This window comes from Homo sapiens, chromosome 14 (genome assembly GCF_000001405.40).
Source record: "Homo sapiens chromosome 14, GRCh38.p14 Primary Assembly".
Lineage (NCBI taxonomy): Eukaryota > Metazoa > Chordata > Mammalia > Primates > Hominidae > Homo > Homo sapiens.
In genome coordinates, this window is record NC_000014.9 from 49,859,640 (window position 1) to 49,872,075 (window position 12,436).

Consider the following 12,436-nt stretch of genomic DNA (forward strand, 5'->3'; position numbering starts at 1 on the left):
TGGGGGTTTCTCCATGTTGGTCAGGCTGGTCTTGAACTCCCGACCTCAGGTGATCTGCCCGCCTCGGCCTCCCAAAGTGTTAGGATTACAGGCGTGAGCCACTGCGCCCAGCCCATAAAAGTTTAAAGTCACTATATGTCAAAAATATTCCACCATAACCCTAATCTTAACCCTAAACATAATTAAAAACTTAAAAGTGTAGTCCACACACACGCACACACACACACGGAAAAAAATATCAATGTGAAAATGTGTTCAACTTAAAAGTTGTTTTTTTTTTTTAAAGTATAAGTATGTTAAAGAACACAGTTACTGGCTGGGCACGGTTGAGGTAGGTGCATCACTTGAGGTCAGGAGTTCGAGAAGACAGTTACTGAAAGGATACCTTTCTGACCTCTCAGAGTTTTGTCAGTTACAGACTGAGCTTGATTCCCCCCATGTATTACTTTCCTATTCTGTGGTAATTTGCTGTATCAAATTACCACAAATTTAGAGGCTTAAACAACATAAATTTATTATTATTATTATTGAGATGGGGTCTCACTCTGTCCCCTTGGCTGGAATGCAGTGGGACACTAACAACTCACTGCAGCCTCAACCTCCTGGGCTCAGGTGATCCTCCCACCTCAGCCTCCCTGGTAGCTGAGACTACAGGCACATACTACCACACATGGTTAATTTTCATATTTTTTGTAGAGACAGGGTTTCACCATTTTGTGCAGGCTGGTCTCCAAATCCTGAGCTCAAGCAATCCACCTTCCTTGGCCTCTCAAAGTGCTGGGAATTACAGGTGTGAGCCACTACATGCGGCCAAATTTATTATTTAAGAGTTCTGGAGATCAGAAGTACCAAATTGGTGAAGAGGGCTGCATTCCTTCTGGAAACTCTTGAAGAGAATCCCTTTCCTTGCCTTTTCCAGCTTCAGGGGGCTGTCCACATTCCTTGGTTAGTTAGCACATAGATATCTTTGGGGAGGGGGTCATTATGCTGCCTATTGCACCTCAGTTCCACAAAGCTGAGTTATCCCAGAGGTCATGGTACTCAGGAAGTAGGAACCCCAGGGCTAATGGAGGCAGCTACTCAAAAGCAGTTCTTACATCCATAGCTAAGTCATTCTGGGTCCAATTCAGGGATCCATTTAGTGAAAAACAAGAGATACAAAAATTAGCCGGGCATGCTGGTGTGTGCCTGTAATCCCAGCTACTCGGGAGGCTTGAGGCAGGTGAAGCGCTTGAACCCGGGAGGCAGAGGTTGCAGTGAGCAGAGATCGCTCCCCGGAACTCCAGCCTGGGAGACAGAGCAAGACTCTGTCTCAAAAAAAAAAAAAAAAAGATATACCAAAATTATTTTGCTTCTTATTTTAAGGTTGGTGAGAAGGTAAAGTTTTTTTTTTTTTAAAATAGCATCTCTACCTATTTTCATTTTGTAAAAATGCATTCATTTGGAGGTGATTTTTTAATTCTTGAAAAGTTGTCCTGAAGAACCGGAATCAGACCTATTCCATGTGGTTGCAGAGGGCAGACCCAGAAGCAGCCATGGGGGAGATACCTGTTTTATTCAAAGAGGATCTTTTCTGACAGTTATCCTTGTTCAAAATGCAATGAACTACCTCAAAAAAAAAAAAGGGAATACAATTAGCTTTATAAAAAATTTAGTACAATGCTTCTTTCCTCTTTCATTTTATAGACAGTGAGGAAAATCTGTGTTTAGTGCTTAGAGTCTTTAAACTCCCAGTAGATTATCAGATTAATGTTAAGACTGATGTGAATGCTTAACCAGTTTCCACTGGCCCTAAAATGCCTGAATTTAACAGTAAGCCCTCCAAAACAGTTATTTCATATAGATGAAATTTCTAATCACAGACCACCAAGAACTTTTGAAAAATTTAAAGGTTGTCTTCTTTCATAGCTTACTCACTTATTTCTGTTTTTAAAATGAAGCATGATTATGAGACATGCTCAAGGACAGCTCAGTGGAGGATGCAGAGGTTTTTGCTCTCATTAACACTGGGTTCAAGACCCAGGCGGCTGGGCGCGTTCTTTAAACTCCCTTTGCTTCAGTTACTTTTCGGCGTCTAGGTGCCGTTCCCTTTTTGGCAATCCGACGGAGAGAGAAGCAAGCGAGGAGACAGGGTGGTGCATTCTGCCACGCTGGCCCCTCACCTCTGTCATCACAGGGCGTTCTGGGTTCCTCTGAGAGGAGTTTTTCCCTTATAAGGAGGCAGTAGTGGGATTCCTCTTCGGAAGATTAGCCCTGCCTGTAGCCAAGTAGAACGAAAGGATTTGTGTGTAAGACTGTTGATTAGCCCGTCTTTGGTCTATAGCATTCTAAAGCAAAAACCTTGACAGGACAGGGGTGAAAGAAGGTGACATCCGTGACAGGAGGTAGGCAGGGAAGCTCAGGTCAGCTCAGTGCAGGGGAATAATGTTGGTAACTGCAAGCAGCATCCTGAACGGCCGCGGGAAGAACTTGGAAATTCTTTAAGAGAACGTACTTTTTGCTCTCTGTGATCCGGCGGCCATTTTTTTCCGACTGTCTGTGGGTAAACGAGCAGCCCCTGTTGGCTCCGAAGGTAATAACAGCTTTTCGCAGAGACGTTTTGAATATGCGCCGGTAGGGGGCAGCGATGAGGCGGTTGCAAATCCCCAAGCATCCCGTCAACTGGTGAGCTTTCGCGCTGAAGGAAACGTAAAACAGTGGATAAATATAAGAGTGGAGAGAGAAAGCCAACTATAAACCTCAGTAACATCTTTCTCTATATATTTTTTCCTTTAGAGGAAGAGAGGACTCGTCTTTAAATGTGCACATTAGTATGTTTCTTAATACGTATGAACCGGAAAGGAGGCAAACTTCTTAACTTCAAAGACACTATTTACTTACAAAGGTACCCTTAATGAGGGAGGGGGGCAAAAGAGACGGGGTCTCGCTATGTTGCTCAGGCTGGAGTGCAGTGGCTATTCACAGGCGCGATCCCACTACTGATCAGCACGGGAGTTTTGACCTGCTCCGTTTCCGACCTGGGCCGGTTCACCCCTCCTTAGGCAACCTGGTGGTCCCCCGCTCCCGGGAGGTCACCATATTGATGCCGAACTTAGTGCGGACACCCGATCGGCATAGCGCACTACAGCCCAGAACTCCTGGGCTCAAGCGATCCTCCCACCTCAGCCTCCCGAGTAGCTGGGACTACAGGCACGCGCCACCGCGCCCGGCGGTCGGAGACGCTGCGAAAAGCTACTAGAAGCTGCAGGGCAGTTACGTCATTGGGGAGCGGGGGGGCCACGCCGGGCGACGTGAGCTTGGACACACCCACACTGGGCGGTCTGGAGGCTACGTTAGTGTGGCGTCATCCGAGCTGGGCAGCCGTTCTGCCTTACAGGGTTGGGACCCCGGAAGCTTATCGGCGCGGTTGCGGCCGCGGCTCCCTGTGTTTTGATCAGAACACCACGTTCCTGCTTAACAGAAATTGGTCAGTATGCGCTTAATGCTCATAGTGTGGCGTCCGGACACGCAGCGAGAGAAAAACGCAATAACCTGGTCCGTCAGCGTTGCTTGCTTCAGCAGGCCTTAAATATGTGCTGCATCTTTTGGGGGACGTTACTTAAGAGGCAAACATCTGGCTCGAAGTCTTCCATTATTTTCAGCAAGCATTTAGGAGGTGACTGCACTATAAGGAGAATAACCCACAGTAGCACAGGTTGGGAGTCTGCACAGTGCCGAGGCCAGCTCAGTCTTCACTATTCGAACGAAGGAAGCCTGGGGCAACTGTTTGTTTTCTCTGCCCTGCGTGTTAGTTGCCCGTTGTTTTTGGAGAAAAAACTAGTATCGGGGTATATTGGTGGAAAAATTTGGATTTGGCAGCTTGAAGCCTTTTTTGCGACAAGCTTAGGTTAGGAAGGGATAGAGGGGAGGAAAGAAAAAATAATTTTCGACCATAGTAGATCTGCGAAAGCAGACCTTCTGTTTGTCCTCTTATCTATAGTCTTTCCCTCACCCCCCACCCCTTGTCTCCTAAAAACCAGTCCAGACTTTCCCCGCCACCTCCGTCCTTGTAGCAGATAACGTTGCTCCTTCCTTCATGGATAAATTGAAGGCCAACAGACAAAAACTTTTCAACTCTTTGCTGCTCTGTCCGCTCTAAATTTATCTTTACACCTTCAGAGAAGAGCACCCTTCTGTTTTCCCCTCCTACCTCAAACCCAGTAGGTCAAAATTCTTCCATCAATCATTTTTACCCATTCTATCTCTCTCTTTCATTTATACAGATTCCAAGCTGCCTTTCTTCTAAAAAAAAAAAAAAAAAAAAAGTAAAAAAACTCCTTTGACCTTGCCTTTCTAAATGAAATCTGTCTGTTGTTTTCATGGCTGCACTTCTTGAAACCATGTTCTACAATTGCTACATTTGCTTCTTAACCTTCTGTCTTCAGTCCATAGCCCACCAATCCACTGAAACTATTCTAGCTAAGGCTACGATACCCAAGCCTCCTAATTGGCAGGTCTAAGGGACCCTTTCTGACATAGGTGATGTAATTTACCACCAATCTCTGTCACTTGTGACTGCTGTTTCCTCCCTGAACGTTTCTTCTCCCTGGTTCTTGTTCACAGCCCCTGATATTTCCTCCCAGGCTCTCTCTTCTGCCCACCCAGCAAATGTTTTTGTTCCTTACAGTTCCCTCCTAAATGTTCTCTGTTCTCTCACCGTGTTCTTCATGAGTGATGTAATAAATTCTCAAGGCTCTCAAATCTGTAGTTCCAATCTGATGCTGTTTCCAGAGCTTCAGATTCACATTTTTAGTTGCCTTCTGGATGTCACCTTGAAATCATTCAAAACTTCAAATTCAGTATTTGCAAACAAAACTGATCATCTTCTCTTCTTCCTCCAAGCTTACCCATTTTTTCTTTTTATCAATATGTTTATTTATTTATTTTTTGAGACAGAGTCTTGCTCCGTTGCCCAGGCTGGAGTGCAGTGGCACGATCTCGGCTCACTGCAACCTCCGCTTCCTGGGTTCAAGTGATTCTCCTGCCTCAGCCTCCTCAGTAGCTGGGATTACAGGTGCCCACCACCGCACCCAGCTAATTTTTGTATTTTCAGTAAAGATGGGGTTTCACAATGTTGGCCAGGCTGGTCTTGAACTCCTGACCTCATGATCCACCTGCCTCGGCCTCCCAAAGTGCTGGGATTACAGGCGTGAGCCACTGTGCCTGGCTCATCAGTATGTTTAGTTGCTCACTTCAGAACTCTCAGAGTCATCCTTGACTACTATTTCATCCATTCAATACCAAATACTTACTTTTTACTTATCCAGTGACAGGCACTGTACTAGGTGGTAGAGATGTGGTGGTGAAGAAAAGAGACAGAGTGGAAGAGACAGACAAAAACTTAGCAAAAAAAATTATAATTTCAAACTGTGATAAGTACCGGTGAAGGAAGCACAGTACTGAGATATGAACAATGGTGGTAGGAAGCAGGTGGGGCACCTGCTTTTGAGAATGTAGTCAGGTAAGCCTCTTTTAGGAGGTATCATTTAAATTAGGGCCTGAAGAATGAGGCATCGGTTAAGGTACATTGAAGCAAACAAGGACTGTCTGTAAACTGAAGTAAACGAACCTCTCTTTAGGAAATTCAGAAGAAAGAAAATTATCTCGAGGAAGTTGGTCAGAAGAAAATGGGCAGATCATGAAATGTTAGTTGTCCCCCAAAGTCGGTTCTCCCCTTTTACAGTGCTAATACATTGCTACTTGGGCACATGAATCCCAGCTAGAGACCACATTGCCTGAATTTCCTTACAACCAAGTGTGGTCAAGTTCTCACTAATGGAATATGAATGAAAGTTGTATGTGTCCTCTGCATCACTTGCTTAAAAAGAAATCGGTTGCCCTCTACTTTGGCCCTCTTGGCCTTTCCAGCGCTAGGTGGCGCCAGTGCAGATCCACTGCAGTGCCCCACCTTTAACCATGCAAATTAGGAAAAATACCTAGGGTCGAGGAAAGAAACCAGTGAATGCAGAAGGGGCAGGATTGGAAAACAAAACAAAACAAAACAAAACAAAAAAAAAAAAACAACCAAACCAAACCAAAATAAAACCAAAACAGCAGAGTCCATGGATGAATTAATGAAGCTGATCCACCCTATAGCCTCCACCACTCCTACCTCTGGACTGTTAGATGAGAAATAAGCTTCCATCTTAATTCAATCACTATATTTTGGGGTCTCTTTATTATTACAGCATACTCTGTACTCTAACTAATAGAGGGAGGTTCCCAGAAGAAAATCCTGGATAAGCAGAACTCAGAGCAGGAACCAAAAGAGCTCCAGGTATCTACAGGGCACCCCAATGGGATGAACCATCCTCAGTATCCTCTAAGAAGAGTCTGATTTTCTAGTTTGAGTTCTGTATTCTTCTACAATCTGTATTTATATGCATACCTATTTTTATTTTTGTTATTTATTTATTTTTTGAGACGAAGTTTCGCTCCGCTTGCCCAAGCCAGAGTGCAATGGTGTGATCTCAGCTCATTGCAACCTCCGCCTCCTGGGTTCAAGTGATTCTCCTGCCTCAGCCTCCAGAGCAGCTGGGATTACAGGCACGTGCCACCATGCCCAGCTAATTTTTTGTATTTTTAGTAGAAACGGGGTTTCACCATGTTAGCCAGGCTGGTCTCGAACTCCTGATCTTAGGTGATCCACCCGCCTCAGCCTCCCAAAGTGCTGGGCTTACAGGCATGAGCCACCACGCCCGGCCATGCATACCTATTTTTATTATAATTATGTTGTAAATAAAACATCTGTGTCTTGCTTTTCTTTCCCACATGTTACTATGTTTTTGGTGGCAGTATAATCTTTTATTATTATTATTATTTGAGACAGAGTCTTGCTCTGTCTCCCAGGGTGGAGTGCAGTAGCGCGTCTCAGCTCACTGCAACCACCACCTTCCCAGTTCAAATGATTCTCCTGCTTTAGCCTCCTGAGTAGCTGGGACTACAGGCAGGCTTCACCACACCCAGCTAATTTTTGTATTTTTAGTAGAGATGGGGGTTTCACCATGTTGGCCAGGCTGGTCTCGAACTCCTGGCCTCAGGTGATCTGCCCGCCTCCCAAAGTGCCGGGATTACAGGTGTGAGCCACTGCTCCCGGCCAGGTGGCCCTATAATCTTTTGATTTGGTGCATCATAATTTATGACTATTTAAATTGAACCACTATCAGTCACACTAATCACTTTACTATTCTATATATTTCACCTTTATTGTTTTATGAATTAGTGATCGGCATAGTATCCAGTGCTAAGTCAGTTATGCACAACCTCGAATCAGCCGTTTGCTTTTTTTTTTTTTTTTTTTTTTTTTGAGACGGAGTCTCGCTCTGTCGCCAAAGCTGTAGTGCAGTGACGCGATCCCAGCTCACTGCAAGCTTCGGCTCCCGGGTTCACGCCATTCTCCTGCCTCAGCCTCTCGAGTAGCTAGCTGGGACTACAGGAGCCCGCCACCACGCCCAGCTTTTTTGTTTGTTTTTTCAGTAGAGACGGGGTTTCACCGTGTTAGCCAGGATGGTCTCGATCTCCTGACCTCGTGTTCCGCCCGCCTCGGCCTCCCAAAGTGCTGGGATTACAGGCGTGAGCCACCGCGCCCGGCCAGCCGTTTGCTTTTTTAACAGTGCAAAAAACAAGGCCGTGTCTGGCTATATGGGGCTTTGCTTGTTCAAAATGTAACCTCTATACGGCCGCGCGCAGTGGCTCACGCCTGTAATCCTAGCACTTTGTAAGGCCCCGGCAGGCGGATCACTTGAGGGCAGGAGTTCGAGGCCAGCCTGGCCAACATGGTGAAACCCCATCTCTACTAAAAATACAAAAATTAGCCTGGCCTGGTGGCGCGCGCCTGTAGTCCCAGTTATTCAGGAGGCTAAGGCAGGAGAATCGCTTGAACCCGGGAAGAGGAGGTTGCAGTAAGCCGAGACGTGCAACTGCATTCCAGTCTGGGCAAGACTCCGTCTCAAAAAAAAAAAAAAAAAAAGTAACCTGTATGAAAGTTAATTTTGTGGCACTGAACATTGGAGTAGATAATAACCTCATCTGAAATGGGATGTCTCAATCTGTCTACAAAAAACTCCATGCCATAGAGCTCAAAAGTTTGTAAATTAGTCCTTTGGAGACGTTAAAGAGCATGGAGTCATACGAAAAGGCTTTCTGCCCTGGTAAGGGAAGAAAGCTTGTGGGCAGGTTGAGTCTGGTCCTTGAGTTCTCAGCTCTCACCAGGGAAGGGGTACCAGACAAAGCTGAGGCTGAACTTGAGCCGCACAGGCCCTGATTGCTGGGCCGTGAGAGAACACCCGAGGAGGGGGCCCAACGCACCTGAAGAAAAGACGACGTGGAGGTCATAAACGACCAAGAGAAAGGGGCGCACCGCGGACACTATCGCCAGCCGGACCCCAGATCAAGAGAAATAGAAGAGGAGCCGGGGTCTCCAAACACTACAGGCTGGGGTCCCAGGGCAAGGGACTGGGCCGCCGGCGGAAGCGTCGGGGAGAGGCGGGACTGTCGGCGGGGTGTGGGAGAGGCGGGGCGTGGGAGAGGCGGGGCGTGGGAGAGGCGGGGCCACCAGCAAGTGGGCGGGCGGGAGGCGGGGCCGCAGTTGGGGTGTGGAAGAGGTGGGGCAGCCAGCAACTGGGAGGGGAGGGAGGCGGGGCCGCCGGCGGGGCGCGGTGAAGAGGCAGGCTGCCAGAGTGCCTGGCCGACAAATTACCCAGCGTGAGCTCGGTCACCTGGGTGTGGCGGTTCAACCCTGAGCTACGTCCTCCCACGGCGCCCGGAGTTTCCCCACCCTTGACACAATGCCTATTCGCAGCTCGCTGCAGCGGAGTCATCTACTGCTGCTGGCAGGATTTTCATTGCGACGGGTTGTTATGTGCATTTCAGGACATACCCCGTGGGTTGTCCCTGATTCAGTTACATTTAATAAACGAGCGGTGGATTAACCGGAATTACAGTTTGACAGAAAACACGTTTTCTTCTCGACAACACCCTGCGTGTAGGAAGAGCCTTTAATATGGTTGATACACAATATTTAATCGATCCAGAAACACATTTCTTGTGACAGGCTTTTAAATATCAGAATAAATCCTAAGAGTGAACAGTTGAAGTTACTTATCCAATGTTACACTGCTAGGCCTATAAATAAACTTGCGGGGTCTATTTTCTCCCATTTGAATATGCTTTGATTTCCATATGACAGTTCTGCCGAAATGTTTTGACATTTTAGATCTTAGTAGAACTCCATTACAACACGACTATTTATTACGTTGATTCTGATCTGACGTGTAATAAATCATGTCCCCAAACCAAAACTCCATACATTAATATCCTGATATTTAACACACTTTATCCAACTATTGATTCTATCTGTTCACACCAATGTGGTAAAAGCTTTATGTTGTATTTAATTTATTCATTTTGAAAATATTTAAAATGCTTCATTTTCATTAGCTAACTTTGAAGAGTGCTTCTTTTGTTTGGGGACTCTGTAGATTTAGGCTAATGTCACCATTCAGAATAATTGGCAAATTGATTTGCCTTTCTTTGACTTTCTATTCTCCAAGCTGATTATACGCTGAGGTTAACACATTTGAACTGGCCGGCCGGTTGGGTGGCTCACGCTTGTAATGCCAGCACTTTGGGAGGCGGAGGTGGGTGGATCACCTGAGGTGAGGAGTTCGAGACCAGCCTGGCCAACATGGTGAAACCCTGTCTCTACTAAAAATACAAAAAATTAACCGGGCGTGGTGGCGGGCGCCTGTAATCGCAGCTACCCGGGAGACAGAGGTTGCAGTGAGCCGCGGTCGCGCCATTGCACTCCAGCCTGGGCAATAAGAGCGAAACTCTGTCTCAAAAACAAATATATATGTGTGTGTATATATATATATATATATATATATATATATATATGTGTGTGTGTGTGTGTGTGTGTATATATATATACATATATATTTGAACGTGCCTAGATTGTGGTAGGAAAACAAATACTTTAAATTGCATACAGCTTTCACTGACTAAGGTAAGAGGATCAGGATAACATTATTTGCCTAAACCATTCATTTACTCATTCAACAAATAAGTATTGAGATCTGCTATGTGCTAGGTGTCCCAGTGTGTCAACTATTAGTTAATATGGGGGAAAAATAATAGTTTTGAGAATAAAAGTGTAAAAAATGAAACAATTTGCTTGACATGATGCAAACAGTTTAATCATATATAGGTTTATGTCTATTCATCTTGGACCTGGAAGAGAGGACATAATTTCTGAGTAGAAGAATGACTGGGTTAATGTCTAATTTTGCATGTCCTCTGGCCCCAGCCATGATTAGTATAAAAATCCTAGGGTTTCCCTAGGTCTAGGGGAAGATATTACTCTCCTCACCACCTCCACATAGAGTAATATCTTCCCCTAGACCTCCTCCCCTTATGAACAAATGGAGGAACATTGAGGCTGTAAATGGCCTTTTGAGGTTCATATGACAGTCTACTTTCACTTCTTTTATTTTAGAGGGGGAAATTTTAAGCTTTCATGGGTGTGGTTTAGACAGTTTTTAAATATTACTTTGTTGAGAGTTTATGATGTGGTGGTTGAACAAATAGCACCATAGGTACTTGCTAGGGGATACATTACACATACAGTATGTCATCACAATTCACATTGTTAATAATTAAAAATATATTCTGTTACACTATGGTTTATGTGTATGATTTTTTTTTTCCTGAGATGGAGTCTCACTCTGTTGCCCAGGCTGGAGTGCCGTGGCACGATCTCGGCTCACTGCAATCTCTGCCTCCTGGGTTCAAGCGATTCTCCTGCCTCAGCCTCCCGAGTAGCTGGGATTACAGACGTGCACCACTACGCCTGGCTAATTTTTTTTTTTTTTTTTGTCAGTAGAGACGGGGTTTCGCTATGTTGGCCAGGCTGGTCTCAAACTCCTAACCTGAAGTGAACCGCCTGCCTCGGCCTCCCAAAGTGCTGGGATTACAGGCGTGAGGCACCGTGACCAGGCAGTTTATGTGTATGATACATTTCTTTTTTGAGATAGAGTTTCACTCTTTTTGCCCAGGCTGGAGTGCAGTGGTGTGATCTTGGCTCAACTCAACCTCCACCTCCTGGGTTCAAGTGATTCTTCTGCCTCAGCCTCCTAAGTAGGTGGGATTACAGGCATGTACCACCACACCCAGCTAATTTTTTTTTTTTTTTTTGTATTTTTAGTAGAGACAGGGTTTCTCCATGTTGGTCAGGCTAGTCTCGAACTCCCAACCTCAGGTGATCCATCCGCCTAGGCCTTTCAAAGTGCTGGGATTACACGTGTGAGCCACCGCGCCCGGCCTATATGTATATTTTATGACCAAAGGAATTCACACTTTTCTCAGTGTTTGCTTTTAGGGCTAATGAACTGGAAAAGCAGTCCAATTTATACAGAGAATACTGAAGGCACAAGCTGCCTGTGTCTGTTCAGCTGAAACCCCTTGCTGACAAGGTTCTAATTCATTTTGTGACACAGCTCATTTTCCAAGGGGGAGTATAGCCTAGGGTGTGGCAAGAAACAAATAAAGGCAAAACCACTACACATTAGTTAGAATATTGTTAAAAGAGACAGTCTATAGTCACTGTGATGTATGGATAAACAATATTGCATATTACAAGAGTATTTGTATAATCAAAACCATTATATACAAATGCTATTATGATTTATCATTATAAAAACAAATATTAATGTTCTTGTACATTATAATAATAATATAAACTAGAAGAGTGATTTATCCCCTTTTGAGCATAAGATTTATTAAAATAGTAGGTCCCTTTGTGCATTCATTCATTCATTCATTAACTCTACATCATTAGTCATTGGGGAAATGCAATCAAAACCACAAGAGATACAATTTCTTACCTACTAGGATCACGAAAATAACAACAGCAAAACAGAAAATAACAAGTGTTGAACTGGGCAGGTGGTGCATGTCTGTAGTCCCAGCTACTCAGGAGGCTGAGATGGGAGGATCTGTTGAGCCGAGGAGTTCCAGGCCGGCCTGGGCAACATAGCAAGACCTCATCTGAAAACAATGAAACAAACAAAAACAACAAAGAAAAGAATAACAAGTGTTGGCAAGGATGTGGAGAAATTAGAACTCTCATACATTGCCAGCGGGAATGTAAAATAGTGCAGCTGCTGTGAAAAACAGTTTGACAGTTCCTCAAAAATGTAAACATACAATCACCATATGATTGAGTGATTCCACTCCTAGGTACAGACCCCACAAAGAACCAAAAGCAGGTACTCAAAGAGATACTCGCATTAATGTTTGTCACAGCACTATTCACAATAGTCAAAAGGTGGAAACAACTCAACTGTCCATCAACAGATGAATAAGTAAACAAAATGTGATGCATATTCATATTCAGCCA

General features: G+C 44.8%; 1 long non-coding RNA gene and 1 other non-coding gene across 3 annotated transcripts, besides 3 other annotated features; both read right to left on the bottom strand.

Annotated features, from left to right (window-relative positions):
- Window positions 1-254: 254 nt before the first annotated feature.
- On the bottom strand, window positions 255-8,531 carry LOC105378179 (uncharacterized). Of its 2 annotated transcripts, XR_007064155.1 has the most exons (4): window positions 8,347-8,531; window positions 2,881-4,810; window positions 2,495-2,677; window positions 255-2,257 (listed from the first exon to the last, which is right to left on the bottom strand). It is a non-coding gene; the product is annotated as an uncharacterized LOC105378179 (long non-coding RNA). The 2 variants fall into 2 exon arrangements; XR_943839.3 differs by having other exon boundaries at window positions 255-2,677.
- Window positions 2,331-2,931: an enhancer, noted in NCBI's record as "OCT4-H3K27ac hESC enhancer chr14:50328688-50329288 (GRCh37/hg19 assembly coordinates)". NCBI's record gives its function as "activates a minimal SCP1, AML or CMV promoter by ChIP-STARR-seq in primed H9 embryonic stem cells {active_cell/tissue: H9 hESC(primed)}" and the evidence as "EXISTENCE:reporter gene assay evidence [ECO:0000049][PMID:30033119]".
- On the bottom strand, window positions 2,912-3,210 carry RN7SL2 (RNA component of signal recognition particle 7SL2). Its single transcript, NR_027260.1, has one exon.
- Window positions 3,624-3,723: an enhancer, noted in NCBI's record as "active region_8323". NCBI's record gives its function as "activates an Ori minimal core promoter by ATAC-STARR-seq in GM12878 lymphoblastoid cells {active_cell/tissue: GM12878}" and the evidence as "EXISTENCE:reporter gene assay evidence [ECO:0000049][PMID:35858748]".
- Window positions 8,556-8,745: a silencer, noted in NCBI's record as "silent region_5709". NCBI's record gives its function as "represses an Ori minimal core promoter by ATAC-STARR-seq in GM12878 lymphoblastoid cells {active_cell/tissue: GM12878}" and the evidence as "EXISTENCE:reporter gene assay evidence [ECO:0000049][PMID:35858748]".